At 53.9% G+C, this 17,368-nt stretch overlaps 1 protein-coding gene across 1 annotated transcript in view, besides 6 other annotated features; it reads left to right on the forward strand.

Moving 5' to 3' along the window:
• The window catches only part of ARHGEF17 (Rho guanine nucleotide exchange factor 17), a 61,113-nt gene that overhangs the window by 5,383 nt on the left and 38,362 nt on the right, over positions 1 to 17,368 (forward strand). The window lies entirely within an intron of this gene.
• Positions 692 to 871: an enhancer, noted in NCBI's record as "active region_5234". NCBI's record gives its function as "activates an Ori minimal core promoter by ATAC-STARR-seq in GM12878 lymphoblastoid cells {active_cell/tissue: GM12878}" and the evidence as "EXISTENCE:reporter gene assay evidence [ECO:0000049][PMID:35858748]".
• Positions 7,096 to 7,749: an enhancer, noted in NCBI's record as "H3K4me1 hESC enhancer chr11:73031799-73032452 (GRCh37/hg19 assembly coordinates)". NCBI's record gives its function as "activates a minimal SCP1, AML or CMV promoter by ChIP-STARR-seq in primed H9 embryonic stem cells {active_cell/tissue: H9 hESC(primed)}" and the evidence as "EXISTENCE:reporter gene assay evidence [ECO:0000049][PMID:30033119]".
• Positions 7,750 to 8,402: an enhancer, noted in NCBI's record as "H3K27ac-H3K4me1 hESC enhancer chr11:73032453-73033105 (GRCh37/hg19 assembly coordinates)". NCBI's record gives its function as "activates a minimal SCP1, AML or CMV promoter by ChIP-STARR-seq in naive and primed H9 embryonic stem cells {active_cell/tissue: H9 hESC(naive and primed)}" and the evidence as "EXISTENCE:reporter gene assay evidence [ECO:0000049][PMID:30033119]".
• Positions 8,403 to 9,055: an enhancer, noted in NCBI's record as "H3K27ac-H3K4me1 hESC enhancer chr11:73033106-73033758 (GRCh37/hg19 assembly coordinates)". NCBI's record gives its function as "activates a minimal SCP1, AML or CMV promoter by ChIP-STARR-seq in naive H9 embryonic stem cells {active_cell/tissue: H9 hESC(naive)}" and the evidence as "EXISTENCE:reporter gene assay evidence [ECO:0000049][PMID:30033119]".
• Positions 11,669 to 12,320: an enhancer, noted in NCBI's record as "H3K4me1 hESC enhancer chr11:73036372-73037023 (GRCh37/hg19 assembly coordinates)". NCBI's record gives its function as "activates a minimal SCP1, AML or CMV promoter by ChIP-STARR-seq in naive H9 embryonic stem cells {active_cell/tissue: H9 hESC(naive)}" and the evidence as "EXISTENCE:reporter gene assay evidence [ECO:0000049][PMID:30033119]".
• Positions 17,046 to 17,340: a silencer, noted in NCBI's record as "tiled region #2623; HepG2 Repressive DNase matched - State 5:Enh". NCBI's record gives its function as "represses a minimal TATA promoter and a strong SV40 promoter by Sharpr-MPRA in HepG2 cells {active_cell/tissue: HepG2}" and the evidence as "EXISTENCE:reporter gene assay evidence [ECO:0000049][PMID:27701403]".

The raw sequence follows: 17,368 nt of genomic DNA on the forward strand, positions 1-17,368 counted from the left end.
CACTCCAGGCCTCTCACTTTTCCAGGCCCAGCTTGATGTCCCCTTAGGGGGAGGTAACTGGTGAGTCTGTCATTAGAAGAGCAGGGTGTGAGCCTTGCTCTTCTGATCCCTGTGTGGCCTAGGATCCATCATATCCCTGCTCTGTGCCTCACTTCCCCCTTCCATAAAATGGGGGTAATGGCCTCTGCCTGGCAGGCTGTCTCTTGTGGTGAATGGGTGGTGTGATCATTTCCTCTCTGGTAGCAGGAAAGAAGAAAAATGGAGGCTGCACTGCCCAGCTGCTTCTCAGCCACCAGGCTTGGCTTGTGAACACAGGGCTGGGTCCTCGGGGGCCTCAGTATAACCTGGTGGACTGCAGTAGCCTCTGAGAACATCCATCATCCTCCAATTTCCCACACCCTCATAAAGCCTGGAAGTTCTCCCATCTGCTAGCTTGAACCCCTCCTGCTGTCCCCTTCCTTCTGGCTCCCAGAATATGGGGAGCAGCTGTCCACCCCCTCCTGGTGGCCTCTGTTGAGGAGACAATGTTCCCTTGTTTCAAGCCTGAGGCTCCAGTCATGCTCCCTGGGCCGTGGGTGGAGATGGCGTGGTATGGACTCCAGAATAAGCAGAGACGAGAGGAGCTGTCATTCTTTGCTTCTGGCAGTCCCTGGGGACTAAGGGGATGCCCCCCGCCCCCCAGGCTGTAGGGAGTCCTTCACCCTCAGGTCCACATTCGTGCTCTGTGTGGTGTTGCCCCCATTGCCGGGAAGTGGGAGGCCTGGGGCCAGGCCTGGCTCAGCCTTTGACTCACTCAGACCTGGACAGAGTCATCTTTGTCTCTCAGTTTTCCCATCTGTACAGTGGGAGGTTAGACTGCCTGGTCTGTGAGGCTCAGAAGGAGGGAGTCAGCCTGCAGGGGGTGTCAAGTGAAATGGGAGGAGCCAGCGGTGTGGCTGGAGGGGAGAGAAAGGCAGCTGTCTGCAATAGCTGCATGAACCCAGGAGAACAGGGAGTAACAGTAGCTCATGGGTCATTTATTCCAGGAATGCCTGTCTGTGTGCCGGGAGGTGAGGAGGCAGAGCTGTCAGGCCTCCCTGCCCCGCCCCTCCCACACTCTTGTTACCTCCACTGAGGCCCACTGTAGCCTGGTTGGTCAACAACTCTTCCTGTGAGGGAGAGCTTCCCCCGCCCCAGCCTCAAAGTGCAGAGTCTTGCAGTCCCACCTTCTGCCCTCAGGTCCCTGATACCCGTTTGACACATGCCACAACTGTAGCCCACAGCAGGGGGTGACTTGTCTCTCAGCATCATAGGCAGATGAACTCACGAAATTTTAACATACTGAAATAGCAGTAACAATGACGAACATTTATCAAGTGCTTGCTATGTGCCAGACACTATCTGTTTCATTCTTCAACTGTGAAAGCTGTGGATATCTTACAGTGCAGACTTAGAGTCGAAGACTGTTGGATTCACCCTGAATCCTAGCATATCAGTGTCTTAGAGGTGAGGGGTCCCAAGGAGATTGGCCTGCCATCTGAGTAGCGGGGACAAGTCAGCAGACAGTTGGGAGTGTCACCTCCACATCCCCAACAGCCTGAACACTTTCATAGTGGTTATTTAATTCACCAGGGCCTGGGGTTGGGATGGGAAGAACTTTGAGACCCAGAAAGGGAGAATGCTAGGTCTAAGGTCACACAGCAAGGGCGGGCAGAACCAGGCCCATGCACCAGGACCCTGGCCTTGTTCCTCTCCACTCAGACCCCCTCCCTACCCAGCCAGCTCCCTGCCTTGCTGATGAAGGTCTGGCAACAGCTCTTCTAGTCACCCTTCTTTCTCCCCTTTTGGCGGGGAACCTGCGGGGGTGGAGGTTCTCTCCTTCCCCTCCTTGGCTCTTTGTGTGATTTTTCCATGGAAACTGGTTCTGGGGGGAAAGGAGGAGGTGATTAGGACACTTGGAATTCTGAGCGGTACCAAATATCTATAATTAAATGTCTTGTCACCCAGCAGGAGGGGGTGAGATGAGGGAGGACAGGCAGAAGGGCAGCCCCTTTCCTCTGTTTATTCCTCACATCTCCTCCCAACTCCTTCCTAAGGGCCTGGGCTCTTGGGGGGAACACTGTCCAGGAATGAGTCCTCCCCAGCGAGGAAGGGTTGGGGGATGGACTAGAGTTGAGTCTGACATTTTCCAGCCCCACGTTTCTGGGACCAGCTGGGTTTGGGAGGCGGAGAGGCTGCTGCTAATCCTGTCCCCAGCCCCCTCTCCCCGTGTAGGGACTTACCCCTCCTGCTTCCCTCCCACCCTCCCATCTGTGATCTTTCAGGCTACACATTGCTGCCCCAAAGCAGGGTGGAGGCACCCCCAGGCTTCCTGGGAGCCGAGGCACACAGAGTGTAGGATCTAGAAGCCAACTCGAAGGGGCTTAGGATGTTGAGGGACTAGCCTGGAAACTGGCCGAGGGACTTCCTAGAAGAGGCTCTGCCTAAGCTTGAGCTTGAACACTGAGCAAGAGGGAGAGGCTCTATGAAGAGGGCACAGCATGAGCAGAGGCTAGGAGATGGAAAGAAATATGGCAGGTTGTGTGCAGTAAAAGTTTGTTTCAGAGACTCAGGTGGCCTTTGATAGGGTAATGCATTCATCCATTAAACAAATACTGTCTGAGCAATAAGACATGTCAGGCCTTCTAGGCCTGGGAATACAGCAGCAAACAAAACAAAAGCCTGTCCTTGTGGAGCTTCCAGACTAGGGAGGAGGCCTGTCTGTAAATGGAGATATTCTGTGTCAGGGAGTGGTAGGGTCCGAGAAAAAAATAAAGCAGGATAAGGGAGTAGAGAATGACAGGGTGGGGTACTTTAGATCAAGAGATCAGGAATGCCTGTCTGAGGAGGTGACATTTGAGCAGAAGCCTGGAGGAAGTGAGGGAGCAGGTCAGGTGGCTGAGGGAAACAGCATTCTGGGCAGAGAGGAACAGCAGATGCAAAGGCACTGAGGTGGTTGAGAAACAGTCAAGAGAACTGTATGGATGGAGCAGAGAAGTAGAAGATCAGAGGTGGGTTAGGGTGAGGAAGATCATGTAGGCCAATAGGAGGACTTCAGCACATACTCAAAGTGAGATGGGGCAGGTGCTGTTGGAAGGTTCTGAGTGGAATAGTGGCCTGGTCTGACTTAAGCATTCACAGGTCTGCTCTGGCTGCTCCATGTGGATAGATTGCAAGGGGCCAGGTGGAGGCTGTGAGGCCAGTCAGAAGGCTGCTGGAATAATCTGGACAAGAGATGATGGTGGCTTGGGCCCAGGCAGAGATGGTGGAGTGGTGGGTTTCTGCTGCAGCCCCAGGGGCTCCTCAAGGGCCTGGACCCCAATGTTCAAGGTGAACACAGAGCTACAACTTCTCACATGGCTGGGCAGTGTGTGAGGGGTCACTTAGGGTGGGGAGGTGGAGTTTGAAAAGTCCCCAGGGTGGACTGGGCTTTGCGCTACACTGGCCACCCCCTGCAGACCCACATTGGCTTGGCTGAAAGGCTAGGAGAGTGGAGCCGCCACAGGGTCCCAGTGAGGCAGGTGACAGGGCCATATCCCACTGGTGTCTCCTCTGCAGCCACCATGACACCCATTTAGCTCCAGCGTGCATGTCTCCTGGGACAGGGAGCTCATGCCTCCCCCTACCCCCCAAGGTAGCCCCATCCCTCCCATCTGATCCTCCAGCTACGTGGGCATTGCCATGGCTCCAATAGTCCAATAAAGAAGCAGGCTCAGAGTGGGCAGGGTCTGCCCAAGGCCCCAAAGCTTGAGTATGGGATTTGGCTCCCAGTGTCCTGACTCCCAGACCGTACATTGGTCCCACAGAGTTCCCACTAAGCAGAGTTGGCAGGGATGGCGGTAGCAGGGTGGGGGAAGGGGGAGCCAATGTTTCCCAGAAAGGCTTGAAGCCCTGGCGTACTTACTGGGAAATGTGCCCAGGCAGCCTGGCGCCTTGCTGGCAAGCCCTGAAATGGGGGCCCTGGGTCCCCTGGGAAGCAGGAGCCTATTGGAGCTGATGTCTCCCCATGGGAGTTGATTCCCCCCATGATGTCCTCCCTCTAATTCTCAGCTCCCAGGGTCTCTGGGGCATTCTGGGGGTTGGGAGAGACAGACACAGAGGAAAACTGTCAGGCTGCTGGGCTCTGTGCAGTGAGTGAACCTCAGCCCATGAGATGCAGGGGTTTGGGGCCCCAACCACAGTGCCTGAGCCCCTGGAGGGACTTCCAGGACCCAACCCTCCAGTAGCTCTAGGGTTCACTAGGGACAGCCTGGTGTCTGTACTAGGAGTCAGGAGATCAGCTTTGCCTCACCACCTTCCTGCTGTGAGGCCTTCAATAAGTTCCATCCCCCTTCAGAGCCACAGAGCTGTCCATGCTCTTGGGCACCAGGATAAACCTCCTCCCAGGGCTGTTGGGAAAGGACCCAGTTCTAAGGAGGATCTCGGTTGCAGAATGAAGTGCTGGCAGGCAGGGACCCACCATCCCACTAGGCTGCTGAGAAGGCAGGTTCAGAGTGGTGCCGGGACTCAGGCCTGGGTCTACCCGCTACGTGCTTTCCCCACCATCGCCTCCTGCTCTAGGATCCCCCCCACCCCCAGATAGGGTCTTTTTCCACACTTGTGGCAGGCTGTGGTGCTCACTGTGGGGCCTGTCCAGAAGTGTGATGTTGCAGCTGACGGGACAGTAAACCTTTATCTGGGCCGGGCGTGGTGGCTCACCCCTGTAATCCCAGCACTTTGGGAGGCTGAGGTGAGAGGATTGCTTGAGCCCAGGGGTTCGAGACCAGCCTGAGCAACACAGGGAGACCTTGCCTCTACTAAAAATAAAAAACAGGTGTGGTGGCACAGACCTGTGGTCCCGCTACTCGAGAGGCTGAGGTGGGAGGATGGCTTGAGCCCAGGAGGTTGAGGCTGCAGTGAGCTGTGATTGCCCAACAGCACTTTAGCCTGGGCGACAGAGTGAGACCTTGTCTCAGAACAAAAAGCAAGAACCAAACAAACAAAACTTCCTATGGTTTCTTTCCAGTGGAGCTTGAAGAAGCCGCCAGGCAGGAACAGGGTGAGAGGGGAGGGCAGAGCACACCCGAGGTGGGAAGACCTGTGCTGATTGCAGAGGTCTAGGTGGTGTATTAGTGTCCTGTTGCTGCAGTAGCAAACTACACACATCTAGTGGTTGAAAACAACACAGATCTCCTACTCTCCAGTCTGGAGATCAAAAGTCTGAAGGGTTTCACTGGGCTAAGATCCAGGTGCTGACAGGCCTGCCCGCCTCTGGCGGCCCTGGAGAGATCAACGCCTCTGCCTTTACCATCCTCTCCTGGCTGCCAGCACTCCTTGGCCTGTGGCCCCTTCCCCCATCTTCCCCAGCATCTTCAAATCTCTTGCTCACCCCGTACCTCCTTCCTCCGTCTTTTTTTTTTTTTTTTTGAGACAGAGTCTTGCTTTGTTGCCAGGCTGGAGTACAGTGGCACGATCTCAGCTCACTGCAACCTCCACTTCCCGGGTTCAAGCAATTCTCCTGCCTCAGCCTCCCAAGTAGCTGGGACTACAGGCATGCGCCACCACATCCAGCTAATTTTTGTATTTTTAGTAGAGACGGGGTTTCACCATGTTGGCCAGGATGGTCTCGATTTCTTGACCTCGTGATCCGCCTGCCTCGACCTCCCAAAGTGCTGGAATTACAGGCGTGAGCCACTGCGCCCGGCCTCCTTCCTCCTTCTTTAAGAACCCTTGTGATTCATTGTGTTCTTAAAGCCTACCTGATAATTTGATAATCTTCCCATCTCAGAATCCTTAATTACACCTGCAAAGTCCCTGTTATTATGTAAGGTGACATATTCACAGGTTCTGGGGATTAGCATGAGGATGTAATGCCAGGGCCATTATTCTTTCTACTGCACAGATAGGCAAAGGACCAGGCTGTTGGTTCCTGATATTCAGAGTCCCCAGCTGGTGCTGGTCCCGGGGCAGAACCTTCGAACTCAGGCCCACTGCATTTAACTTGCTATTTCTTTCCATGTTCATTTGTCATTCATTCATTTAGCAGTCAATCATTGAGCTCCGTGTTGGGCAGTGGGGACACACGGGGAAAACTTGGACACCATCCCTCCTTGCCAGGAGCTTTCACCAAGGATCCTAGCCTCCTGAGGTGGGTGAGGTCCAGAGGCAGGCAGAGCCCAGGCCTGGTGGGGCAGGGGCAGAAGTGCCAATGTGTTCCTGGGGCCAGGCCTGGCTTCCAGAGGTGGCAGGCCATAGTTTTGCTGACTAGAAGTGGGATGAGGCCGCTCCCAAGAAGGGCAATTGATAGGAGAGTTTAAATCCAGGGCAAGGAGGGAAGGTGGGCACCTAGGGAGGGGGTGGGAGTCACGTCTCTGCCAGGCTGCCCCATCTGAGGGCAGAACTGAGAGCCCAGCGGCAGAAGGAAAGAAACCCCATGTTCTGGGAGCTCCATGTGGGAATTGGTGGCATTGGTGCTGTCTGACCAGAGGAACTGTCAGGTCCCTTCATCCCTGAGAGGCCTAGGGAGGCTTCAGGGAGGTGGCATGTGGAGGGTAAAGGGTGCTGTCCAGAATGCTGTCTCCCCGCACGCTGGCTTTCAGACCCAGGCAAGCACTTACCTACTCCCCCGAGGCTGTAGTCGATGGGGGCAGTATCCCCTCACTCCACAGAGGATTATTGTTAAGATTATTTTGTTTTTCGGCCGGGCGCTGTGTCTCATGCCTGTAATCCCAGCACTTTGAGAGGCCGAGGCGGGCGGATCACAAGGTCAGGAGTTCAAGACTCAGCCTGGCCAATATGGTGAAACCCTGTCTCCACTAAAAAAAAAAAAAAATTAGCAGGGCGTAGTCCTAGCTACTCAGGAGGCTGAGGTAAGAGAATTGCTTGAACCCTGGGAGGCGGAGGTTGCAGTGAGCCGAGATTGCACTACTGCACTCCACACTCCAGCCTGGGTGACAGAGCGAGACTCCGTCTCAAAAAAAAAAAAAAAAAAAAAAGATGATGATGATTTTTTTTTTTTTTTTGAGGCAGGGTCTCACTCTCTCAACCAGGCTAGGGTGCAGTGGGTCAATCATGGCTCACTGCAGCCTTGACTTCCTGGACTCAAGCAATCCCTCCCACCTCAACTTCCCAATGAGCTGGGACCACAGGCATGCGCCATCATGCCTGGCTAATTTTTTTTACTTTTAGTAGAGGCAAAGTCTCACTATGTTGCCCAGGCTGGTCTTGAACTCCTGAGCTCAAGTAATCTTCCCGCCTTGGCCTCCCAAAGTGCTGGGATGATGGACATGAGCCACCGCACCCAGCCTACTGCTGAGATTAAGTGAAAGCATGCCAAGAGGGCTTGGCACACAGTAAGTGCTCAAGAAATGTTACCTCCTCCCCTCATGACTGAGATGCTAAGGTTTTATGATTCTAAGATTCTTGGCTGCTGGGCACCTCTTTCCAGCCGTGAAGCAGAAGACAAAGCTCTAGACAGGAAGGCAGGTTGGGGCCTGGCTACAGTACCCACATAGTCAGTGGCTCCGAGCCTGGTTCTCTGGAGGTGGGGAGGAGGGAGAAACCGGGGCTGGAGGCTGAGCCACATGCCCACTGTCCTTGCTCCACTCACCAGCTCTTCTCCTTTTGTTACCACCAGCCCCACCCTGTGACATGTCCAGGATAGCTCAGCCCACACGGGGAGGAGAGCAGAGGCAAAGCCCTCTCTGCATCAAAGCTGCCCCTCACTGGAAGCGGCCTGTGAAGTGGGGCTCAGTGAGTCTGAGTGTCTGTATGCCTGGTGGGCTTTGGGTTCAGACTGATAAGGGTTAAAATCACAACTGACTCTGACCCCTTGCCGGGTGATATTAACAAGTCATTGGATCCCAACTCTGAGCCTTAGTTTACTGCTCTGTAAAATGGGGGCACTAAGGCGTTATTATGAGGGCCAAAGAGAGAATGCTTGTGGAGCGCTCAGCCCTGGGCGCTGGCTCCAGACAGCTCTCAGAAATGTGGCCACTTAGTGTATGCTTTTGAGATTGTCATTCTCAGAGTCTAGAATCCTGTGGTTTCAAGATGAAGGATTCTGGGTTCTTTTCCAAGAGTCCAGACCTCTTTTTTATTTGTGATTTTGAGATTGTGACTTCTTGGTTCTGACATCCTGTGATCCTGAGACTCTGGGGTCTGGAGAGGTGCAGCAGGTCGGGGGCCAGTGGGAAGGCAGTGGGGGCAGTGTGATGGAGGGGCCAGCCGAGGGAGCAAGCACAAGGTTGGTGTCTGTTTCCTGTTTATTGGTTCCCAGGGGGTGAGCAGGCCCTGCTCCCGCACAGCGCTGTGGAGCAGGAAGCGGGGAGGCAGAGTTCCTGGCTGCCAGCCAGCCCCACAGCCGGGCCTCCAGGGACTGCTGGGACCCCACTCCCCAACCTCCTGGACAAACATTCAGTCCTTTCCCAGGACAGGGCACTGGAGGTTAAGGAGCAGATGTGGAAGGGAAGGGGTGGATAGATGGGGAGGGACGCCTTCCCCCAATAAAGGTCCCGATAGCTCCATCTTTCTTAGCTGCCTGAATCACTGAGGTCTCACTCTGGGTTTCTTGGTATCCCCCGCCTTTCCCTGTCTCCCTGGGATGGGGCCTGGTGATGAGATGTCCAACTTCTGGGCAGGCCAGAAGGGCAGGAGGAGGAAGAAAAGGGCCAGGGCCTTTAATGCCAGAACTGTCTACCTGGAAAGACTCTTAGAAACCAGCCATGTTTTCTAGCCTTCCTCACCCCTGCATCATTCAGATGGGGAAGCTGAGGCCCAGCAAGGGGCCTTGCCCAAGGCCACACAGTAGTGGACTAGAGCCAGAAATCCCCCCCATGCATCTCACCATTGCTCCAGCCTCACACTGTAAGGGGTCACTGAGAGTTCTTGAGAAGTGCAGTGACGTGGTTCACCTGGCATTTTAGGGAACTTGTCTGAGCCAGGGCAGGAAAGGGAAGCCCCTGTATGTGTCTGAGGCCAAGAGGGGCAGGGAGGTCTCAGTTTGACCAGAGCACCTGGGGAGAGGCTCTGTGTGGGCAGGAACCAGGTTGAAAGCCTCAAGTGCCGAGTTAAATGGCCTGAGCAGAGGGGCTCCCCTCTGCCAGCTCCCCTCTCCCTTTCTGGGAGAGGAAGGGCTGGGAGCACTGCCAGCTTTGCACATCACAGTATCCTCTGGTTGTGAGGTGATGATCTGACATGAGGGTGCGGGAACATGAGTAGCCTGAGCTTAGGTAGCAGAGGATGTGGAGCTGGCGAGGGGAGAACTGACTGGGAAGACAATTTGGAGGCAGAATCTGGGAATTCGAATTTAGGTTCAGGGGTTATATCAGAAACAGGGTTGGGGGAGCGGGACTCACTTCTTGTCTCGGCAGAAATTTCCTCTGCATTCTGAAAGAGTGAGGTGGCTGTGAGCCCTGCCTCTGTGCCCAGCAAGCCTCCTGTCTGACCTCAAACCCTCTGCTCCAGTGGAAGTGCCCTGCCTCTCAGGGGGGTCCCTGAAGAGCCCCAGAGCTCCAGGCCACACCTGCAGTCTGGCCCTCCTGGGAGAGGCCTAATGGAGGGAGCATGGAAGGGAATGAAAGAGCAGGCTTGGGCTGCCTTGCTGGCTCTAACCTAAGACAAGTCCCTCTGCCTTGGTTTCCCCATCTGTGAAGTGGGAGTCCTCCAGAGTCCAGCAGAGCTCTAGAATATGCAGGCTTTTGGGAACTGAGGGAGAGGGACTGGTAGGTCCACAGGCAGGCATCCTTGCCAGCAGCCCTCGTGGTGGGTCCTGTAGTCAGAGACAAAGAACCTTGTGATATTTGTACCCTAGATCCTGAGACCAGTGCTATTCTGTGGCCCCGCAGCCCTGGAGGCCTTCCTGAAGAAGAGGAGAGCCGCGCTTTAGGGAGAGGAGTGCCTCACACTGGGGGCCTGAGCGGAAAGCCTGCTTCCCTGTCAGATGCCTGAGCGCCCTCCCAGCTCCTGCCGCTCCTGGGCCCCTCCTCCCCTCTGGCCTGGACCCGCCACTTCCAGGCTTCTCCCCAAGGCCAGCGGGGGCGTTGCCTGGGGCGGGTGAGGAATTTCCGAGGGAATGGCTAAATTCAGCCCCAGCTAAAAATAGTCCCGGGCCTGGCCCCAAGGCTGGTGGAGGAATAGGAGAAGGGTGGGCCCGGCCTGCCCCATCTCATCACCTGGACGTGGTGCCTGGGCAGTGGAGGGTCTCTGCTGGTCCCCTGGGCATCTGTGTCTTTGTTCCAGCCACTCGCACCAGGACTTCCTCTCATGGAGGCTCCCTGCTTTCTTCTCTCCTTCTGTCCTCTGTCCTTCTCCCTGTTCTCCTCCCTGGGTCTTGCTCCTCTTCCTGTCTCTCATCTCCTCTGACCATCTGTGTCACCCTGCCTCCCTTTAGAGAGCCAGACAGAGACCCCTGGCCAGGGACTGGTCTTAGGAAAACGGCCGTGTAGGGCAGAGTCCCCCTCAGCTTCCCAGCCCAGGTGTCAGGAACCGCCTCTGTCCCAGGATACACAGTGATTGCAGCTCCTCTCTGCTTCGGAGGTAACAGACCTCTAAGGCTCTGGGATGTGGAGATGTGGGTGGGAGCCCCCAGTTTGCCCCGTGACCCAATGCTTGATTCTGGTCGGGTGGATCCACCCATGCCAAGCCCTCCTGTTCCTGGCACGAGGTGGAGCCTGGGTACACGTTTATTAAATAAATAATGTGGGGGAGGCAGGAGGAGGACAGCTGAGCCCTGCCCTGGGGGAGCGCCCAGGCTCCTCTCAGCTCCCCTTACCACCCATGCCTATGCCTAGCCCTATGTTGCTGCTGTCCTGGGGACCAGGCAGGTGGAAGCTGGCAGATGGGCAAAGGGTGCCGTCCCGAGTCGGCACTGATTGGGGGTGGGATGGGAAGCAGACACAGGCCCAGAGAAGGTGAGGGTGCTTAGCTCAGGTCACAGAGCCCAGAAAGAGAGAGGTGGTATTCAAACCAGGATAGTCTCACTGGGTTGGAGTTCAGACCCAGATGGTCTGGCTCCAGAACCCGTGCTTAGGCCCCTGGCTTTCAGGACTGCCTGAGTTGGGGGCAGTGCCATCATCAAGGTGGGCACAGAAAGAAAGGGTGGATTTTGCTTTGGACATAGTGATCCTACTGGATTCACAGTCCATGGTCTGAGTCCCAGGAACCAGCACATAGTAGTTGCTCAGTAAATATTAGTTGAATGGCTCAGTTGCACTTGAGAGGCCCTTGGGGAGTGGGAGGAGGTGACAGGCACAGAAGGAATGAGTGTTTCCTCCCTTTATGGGCCCAGGGACCCTTCTCTTGGTGCTGGAAAGCAGCTGAGGTGGGTGCTGGGCTTTCTGCTGGCGGAGAGAACTCAGCCCAGGAGTTTGGGAAGGTGGAGAGATGGGCCACGGGCAGGTGAAGGGGAGACAGGCAGGCCAGGCAGTGCAGTGCAGTCCCGTTTGCAGTATCTGGAAAGCAGATCTCTTGGGCCATGGCCGGCGTGACTCAAATGGAGACAAAAAAACCTTCCATATTTGGACAAAGAGCCCAGAGAGGCCCAGACCCGCAGCCAGCCCAAACCTCCCCCACCCCCAGCCTCCTGCCCTGTCTCCCTCTGGGCCCCTAGCCCTGAGTCCTGTCCCATGAGTTGAACTCTTGGGCCTCAGTCATCAGGTCGCTTCCTGTGTGGCCAGGCCTGGGCTGTGGGTGCTGGGGAAGAAATTTCGTTCCAGGGCTGGGCCCTGTGCTTGGGCTGGAGATGTAGAGAGGAGCCCTGCTGGAGCCTGCGGGCTGGAGGGGAGCACACTGAAACCAACAGTTCCCACACTGTGGGGTAAGCTGACAGCAAACCCCCACCCATCTCAACACAGGCAAAGCTTGAGGAGCATCGCATATAGGCATTGTACACACACACTCTCTCTCTCTCTCTCACTTTCTCACTTTTCAATCCCCAGCAGATTTCCATACCCACAAAGACATCTGTACAGATATCAGGAGTGAGGACCGAGCCTGAGACCTTCCCTGGAGCAAGCTTTGATGACAGCAAAGTTGGAGTAGATTGGGGCAGCCAGATGTCAACAAGTAACATAAACAGGCATTATCCATCTGGAGAGATGTGAACAGAGCAATTTGCTCCTGTACCACCCTCTGAGTGTCCAGCAAGGGGCGGGGCTGGGCAGTGGATGCCAGAGCCTGGTGAGTGGGGAGAGGGCCTAGGCCGCTTCCTGCCTGGGAGCAGACCTTGCTCCCATGGGACAGCCCAGCCATTTGACTGAGAACCGGGGTGTTCACTGTCATTGGTGGATTGACTGAGCCCTGACTGCACAGATGCTTCTACCTTTTCTAACTAGTCTTGGATAATTAACGCTGAAATAAGCTCTGAGTGGCGGGTTGGGGGAACCCAGGGGAACCTTTAAAATTCAATTGCACTGTGGCCCACTGGTGCCTGTATGTGCAGGGTTAGCATGGGGGCCGCAGGGTGAAGGAGAAGGGGTTCCTGACCCAAGAAGCCCCATCTGAGAACTGGGGGTCGAAGGAGGCCAAGAAGGGTGAGGGCAGGGAAGGCTAACTTAGGGCAGTGGCTGGAATCTTGAAGGACTAGCCAGACCTTGACAGGCAGAAATGAGCCAAGGCCCTTCAGGGAGAGAGAACTGCAAAGGTAGAGGCCTGTGATGGAGAAGCCCTGGTGTGTCTGGGGTACCATGAAAGCTCCCTGGTTCTGGAGAGGTCAGGTGGGCCCCGGGAGTTCCTAAAGGCCAGGCCTAAAAGCCTGGACTTGATCCCAGAGTGGTAATTTCCAAGCTCACGGCTGTAATCCCAGCACTTTGGGAGGCCGAGGTTGGGAGGCCGAGGAGGGCGGATCACCTGAGGTCAGGAGTTCAAGACCAGCCTGGTCAACATGGTAAAACCACATCTCTACTAGAAATACAAAAATTAGCTGGGCCTGGTGGCATACGCCTGTAATTCCAGCTACTCGGGAGGCTGAGGCAGGAGAATCGCTTGAACCCAGGAGGTAGAGGTTGCAGTGCACCGAGATTGCACATTGCACTCCAACCTGGGCAACCAAGAGTGAAACTCCGTCTCAAAAAATTAAAAAATAAATAAATGAATAAAAATAAAAATAGTGGAACCTTTTCTTCTAGAGGAATCTTGACACAGAAGTATAAAGCAGGCTGATCTCATTGATTTAAGTGAAAGTAGGGTCATGTCTGCCCCCTGGACCACATCTCACGCCATGTATTTCCATGGAGCTTTCAGGACTCAGTCAGGAAATCTCTGTTGTGGAAAGAGGGAAGCCCTCCCTGATGGGAGGCGTTAGAGTGAGACAAGCCTCTCCCTTCAGTGTCTCTGCAGGCTCAGAAGGGCAACCAGCCAGGCTCCCTGGGCAGGGGTAAACTCTGTTGGGGGCCAGGTCTCCAGACGCAGCCAGGATGATGGAGCATACCACCCATCCTTGGTGCTCCTATGAGCAGGCAGCACCTCCCACCCGGGGCCTGGAGCTGGCTGGGCCCCACTTGATCAGAAGGACAAACTGTTGGAGTGGTGGGAAAATCCTGCCTGCCCCCTGCTGACACCTGGAAGGACACAGGCCCTTTGAGGGAGGTAGGAGCTGGCAACCAGCTACGCTCCCAGAATGTGCACCCTGTCTCAGCCCAGCTCAGTCACACTGACAGTGGACAGGCAGGAGCACATTCTCTAGAGGTCCAGGAATCGTCCTGACTCCTGTAGGATGAGTGAATTAGGTTAGAATCAGGAAGGAATTCCCCAGAGTTTGTAGTGTGTAAAAGGAAGAGTATGAACAAGTGTTGGCAGGAGAAAGACTGAGCTCTGAGGCTGGCAGGTCTGAGGCCCTTCAGGACCTAGGCCTTGCCCCGCTTAGTAGACCAGCCTGCCTGGTCCACCATACAGCCTAAGCTCCCACTTCTTTGGCCACGAAAAATGTAGAATGAGTAGGAAGTTGCCAAACATAGACATAGGAAGCCACACCTGGCAGAGAGACCAGCATGTGCAAAGGGCCCAGGGTGTAACAATGCGATGGGTTGGAGGAACTACTGTGGCCAGAACATGATGCAGCCAGACCGTGGTAAAGGTGGGGAAATTTGATGCTGGTGAGTCAGCAAGGGCCAGGTCATTGAGACTCTCGGGGGACAAGTACTTGATCTTACATTCAGCTGGGTTAGTGTAATGGTTAGAACAGACTGAAGCCAGATGGCTTTCTTCAAATCCTGCTCTTCCTCTTAGTTTTGTGGATAGTCCTGGGTAATTATTCATTGGAAAAGCTGAGTACTCACGTGTTAGTACTTAGTCCCTCTGTGGCTCAGTTTATGTACCTGTAAAATGGGGATGATGATGATGGCACCTATTATAGGGTTATGGTGAGAATTTGATGTGATTATGTCTGTGGTGGCTGGGCTGGACCACAGACCACTGGGGATCAGTGGGAAGCCGTAAAACAAGTTGGAAGGGAGGGAGGGAAGTGACCTAGCTGGCTGAGGAAGAGCCCCAGGGATGGAGAGAAGAGGATGGGGTCACTGAGAGTAGCCCAGGTAATCCTCTTTGGTAGGGGGATGAGCTGAGCTCCCTGAGGGAGGCTTGGAGTTCCCCACGGGCAGCTGTCCAAAGGAAAAGAGTGGGGCTATGCAGGAGGGATGGGACTCTGCAGGCTGGGGGCTCTGCCGGAGTTTTGCTAGCAGAAATCCCCACCTTGCTTTAAAGTTGCCCATCACTGACTCTGGAGCAGCTGGTCTGTGTTCCTTGCCATACAGATGGGGGCCCAGAGAGGGGCAGGGTTGCCAGAGTCACCCAGTGACTTCTGACCCCAGGACCTTCCTCCAGGCTGGGGACTCACTTTGAAGCTCAAAGCCCAGCCCTGAGGTCGCTCTACCCAAGGCAGGGGTTGAGCGTTTGGCTTGAAGGAGGAATTGGACAGTTCTACCCCAGTCTGAATGTGATTTGGGCAGGGAGGGCTTCCTGGAGGAACACCACATGTGAGACTGGAACTGTCCCAGAGGAGACCAATGTGGAAACAGAAGAGGGAAAGCAAAGACAAAGGCTCCAAACTTGGGGCTCCAAGGCAGTGCCCCCTGTTCTCTGGTGCAGTCTTCATTCAGTGGGAACCTCGTCCTCTGTATGTAGGCTGGGAACACAGGTGGTGCCCCAGCTATGAGGAGGCACAGACTGAGACAGGAACATCAGGCCTGTGTCACCAGGGCAGGGTCCGGGCTGGGGCAGAGATACTCCGAGGCCAGGGGAGCCCAGAAGGTCTAGGAGAGAGAGTCATGGAGGGAGCCTAGAGAGGCAGGATGGAGAAGGAAGAAGAGGGGTGCAAAGGCTGTTCAGAGATGAGACGTGAGGCTGGAGTGGGCAGCAGGGGCCTGATTGCAAGGTGAATTTTTTAAATTAAATTTATATATTTAATATTTTGAATAGATGATATATTCACATGGTTAGGAAAAATCCAAAAGGATAAAAAGTCTCCTTCCCACCTGGCTGCCTATTTCCTACCCTGCCTGACCCCAGGCCACCCAGCTAGTAGTGTCTTTGTGAATCCTTTTATCTGCAAACACCAGCAAATTCATCATCTGTTCCCTTCCTGCACACAGATGGTAGCACACCGCTTTGCCCCTTGCTCGTTACACTTAATGTCATTTGCAGGTCTTGCCTTATCAGTATTTTGAGAGCTTTCATATATATATATATATATATATATATATATATATATATATATATATATATATTTTTTTTTTTTTTTTGTATTTTGGGTTTTTGTTTTTTTTTTTTGAGACGGAGTCTCATTCTGTCACCCACGCTGGAGTGCAGTGGTGCGATCTCAGCTCACTGCAACCTCTGCCTCCCAGGTTCAAGCAATTCTTGTGCCTCAGCCTCCCGAGTAGCTTGGATTACAGGTATGCACCACCACGCCCAGCTAATTTTTGTATTTTTAGTAGAGATGGGAGTTCACCATGTTGGCCTCGCTGGCCTTGAACTCCTGACTTCAGGCGATCCGCCTGCCTCAGCCTCCCAAAGTGCTGGGATTACAGGCGTGAGCCACCGCATCTGGCCTCATATTCTTTTTTGTACTGCATGGTGTCCCATTTTGCAGAATACCAAACTATGCAACCACATATTAACAGGTATTTAGGTTTTTTCAGTCTTTTGCTGTTACAAACTGCTGCAGTGAACAAGCTTGTTTGTAGGTCATTTCTTAGGAGTGCTAGGATACAGGGTAAATGTGATTCTCATTTTGCTGCTGTCCATGGGGGTCTGCCATCAGCAGTAGGTTAGAGGCCCATTTCCCCACAATCTCACCAACTCAGACCTTTGGGTATCTTCCCAATCTGATAGGTCTCAGTGTATTTTAATTTGTATTTATCTTATAATGAGTAAGGTTGAGCATCTTTTTCTATCTCCAAGAGACATATGGATTCCCGTTTCTGTGAATGCTTCATATCCTTTGTCTATTTTTCTGTTGGGTTGTTGGCCTTTTGTTTTTATCAGTTTCTAGGAACCTTTTAAATATTAGGGAAGTTAGTTCTTTGTCTGGCATATGAGTTGCAAATATTTTTTTCCTGATTTGTCACTTGACTTTTGACTTTGTTTATATTTTTACTATGCAGAAGGTTTTGTTGTTATGTGTTCTACTTTATCAAGCTTTTATTTTATTGCTTCTGGATTTGGAGTCATAGTTAGAAAGGCCTTTCCCACTCCAAGATTATAAAGTAATTCTCTCATATTTTTTCTCTGCTATTTTCAGTTTTCTTGTTTTATTTTACATTTAATTCCTTGATCGGTTTGGAATTTATCCTGGTGTGTAGTATGAGTTATGACTGCAACTCTTTTTTTTCTGGATGGTTGGTTTTAAGGTGAGGAATGACTTGGTCAGAATCTTTCTAGGGTGGGTGTGAAGGTCAGCTGAGGGGATCGAGGCTGTGGCTGTGGAGGGGCAGGGGCAGAGGGATGAACAGAAGGGCCTGGAGTGGCACCAGATAACTTGCTGGGCCCTGGAAGGTGGCATAACATTCCCAAATTCCTTGTCTGTACTGTGTGACTTTGGGCAAGCCCCATCCCCTCTCTGGGCCTAGATTATCATAGCTGGAAGAGGCCCTGGACATCGCCCTGGCTGTCCTGGAGGTGGAGGCAGAGAGTAAGACTGTGGAGCTAGCGCCCACTCAGGCTTGGCCCAAGAAGATGGAGGGCTGGCAGCAGAATTCACTGTGTTCCTGGAGTGGGCAGGCAGGAAGGAGGAGAGGGGCAGGCACCCATTTAAAAATGCCCACTGCAGCCTGGCACAGCAGGTGGGGGTGGGGGCAGGCCCTCTGCCAGCCCTCTGGATCCAGGAAGGCCAGGGGTTTCTAGGGGTGGGCACATTACCTGCTGTCTCAGCACTGTG

The sequence above is a fragment of the Homo sapiens genome, chromosome 11 (genome assembly GCF_000001405.40).
Source record: "Homo sapiens chromosome 11, GRCh38.p14 Primary Assembly".
Classification (NCBI taxonomy): Eukaryota; Metazoa; Chordata; class Mammalia; order Primates; family Hominidae; genus Homo; species Homo sapiens.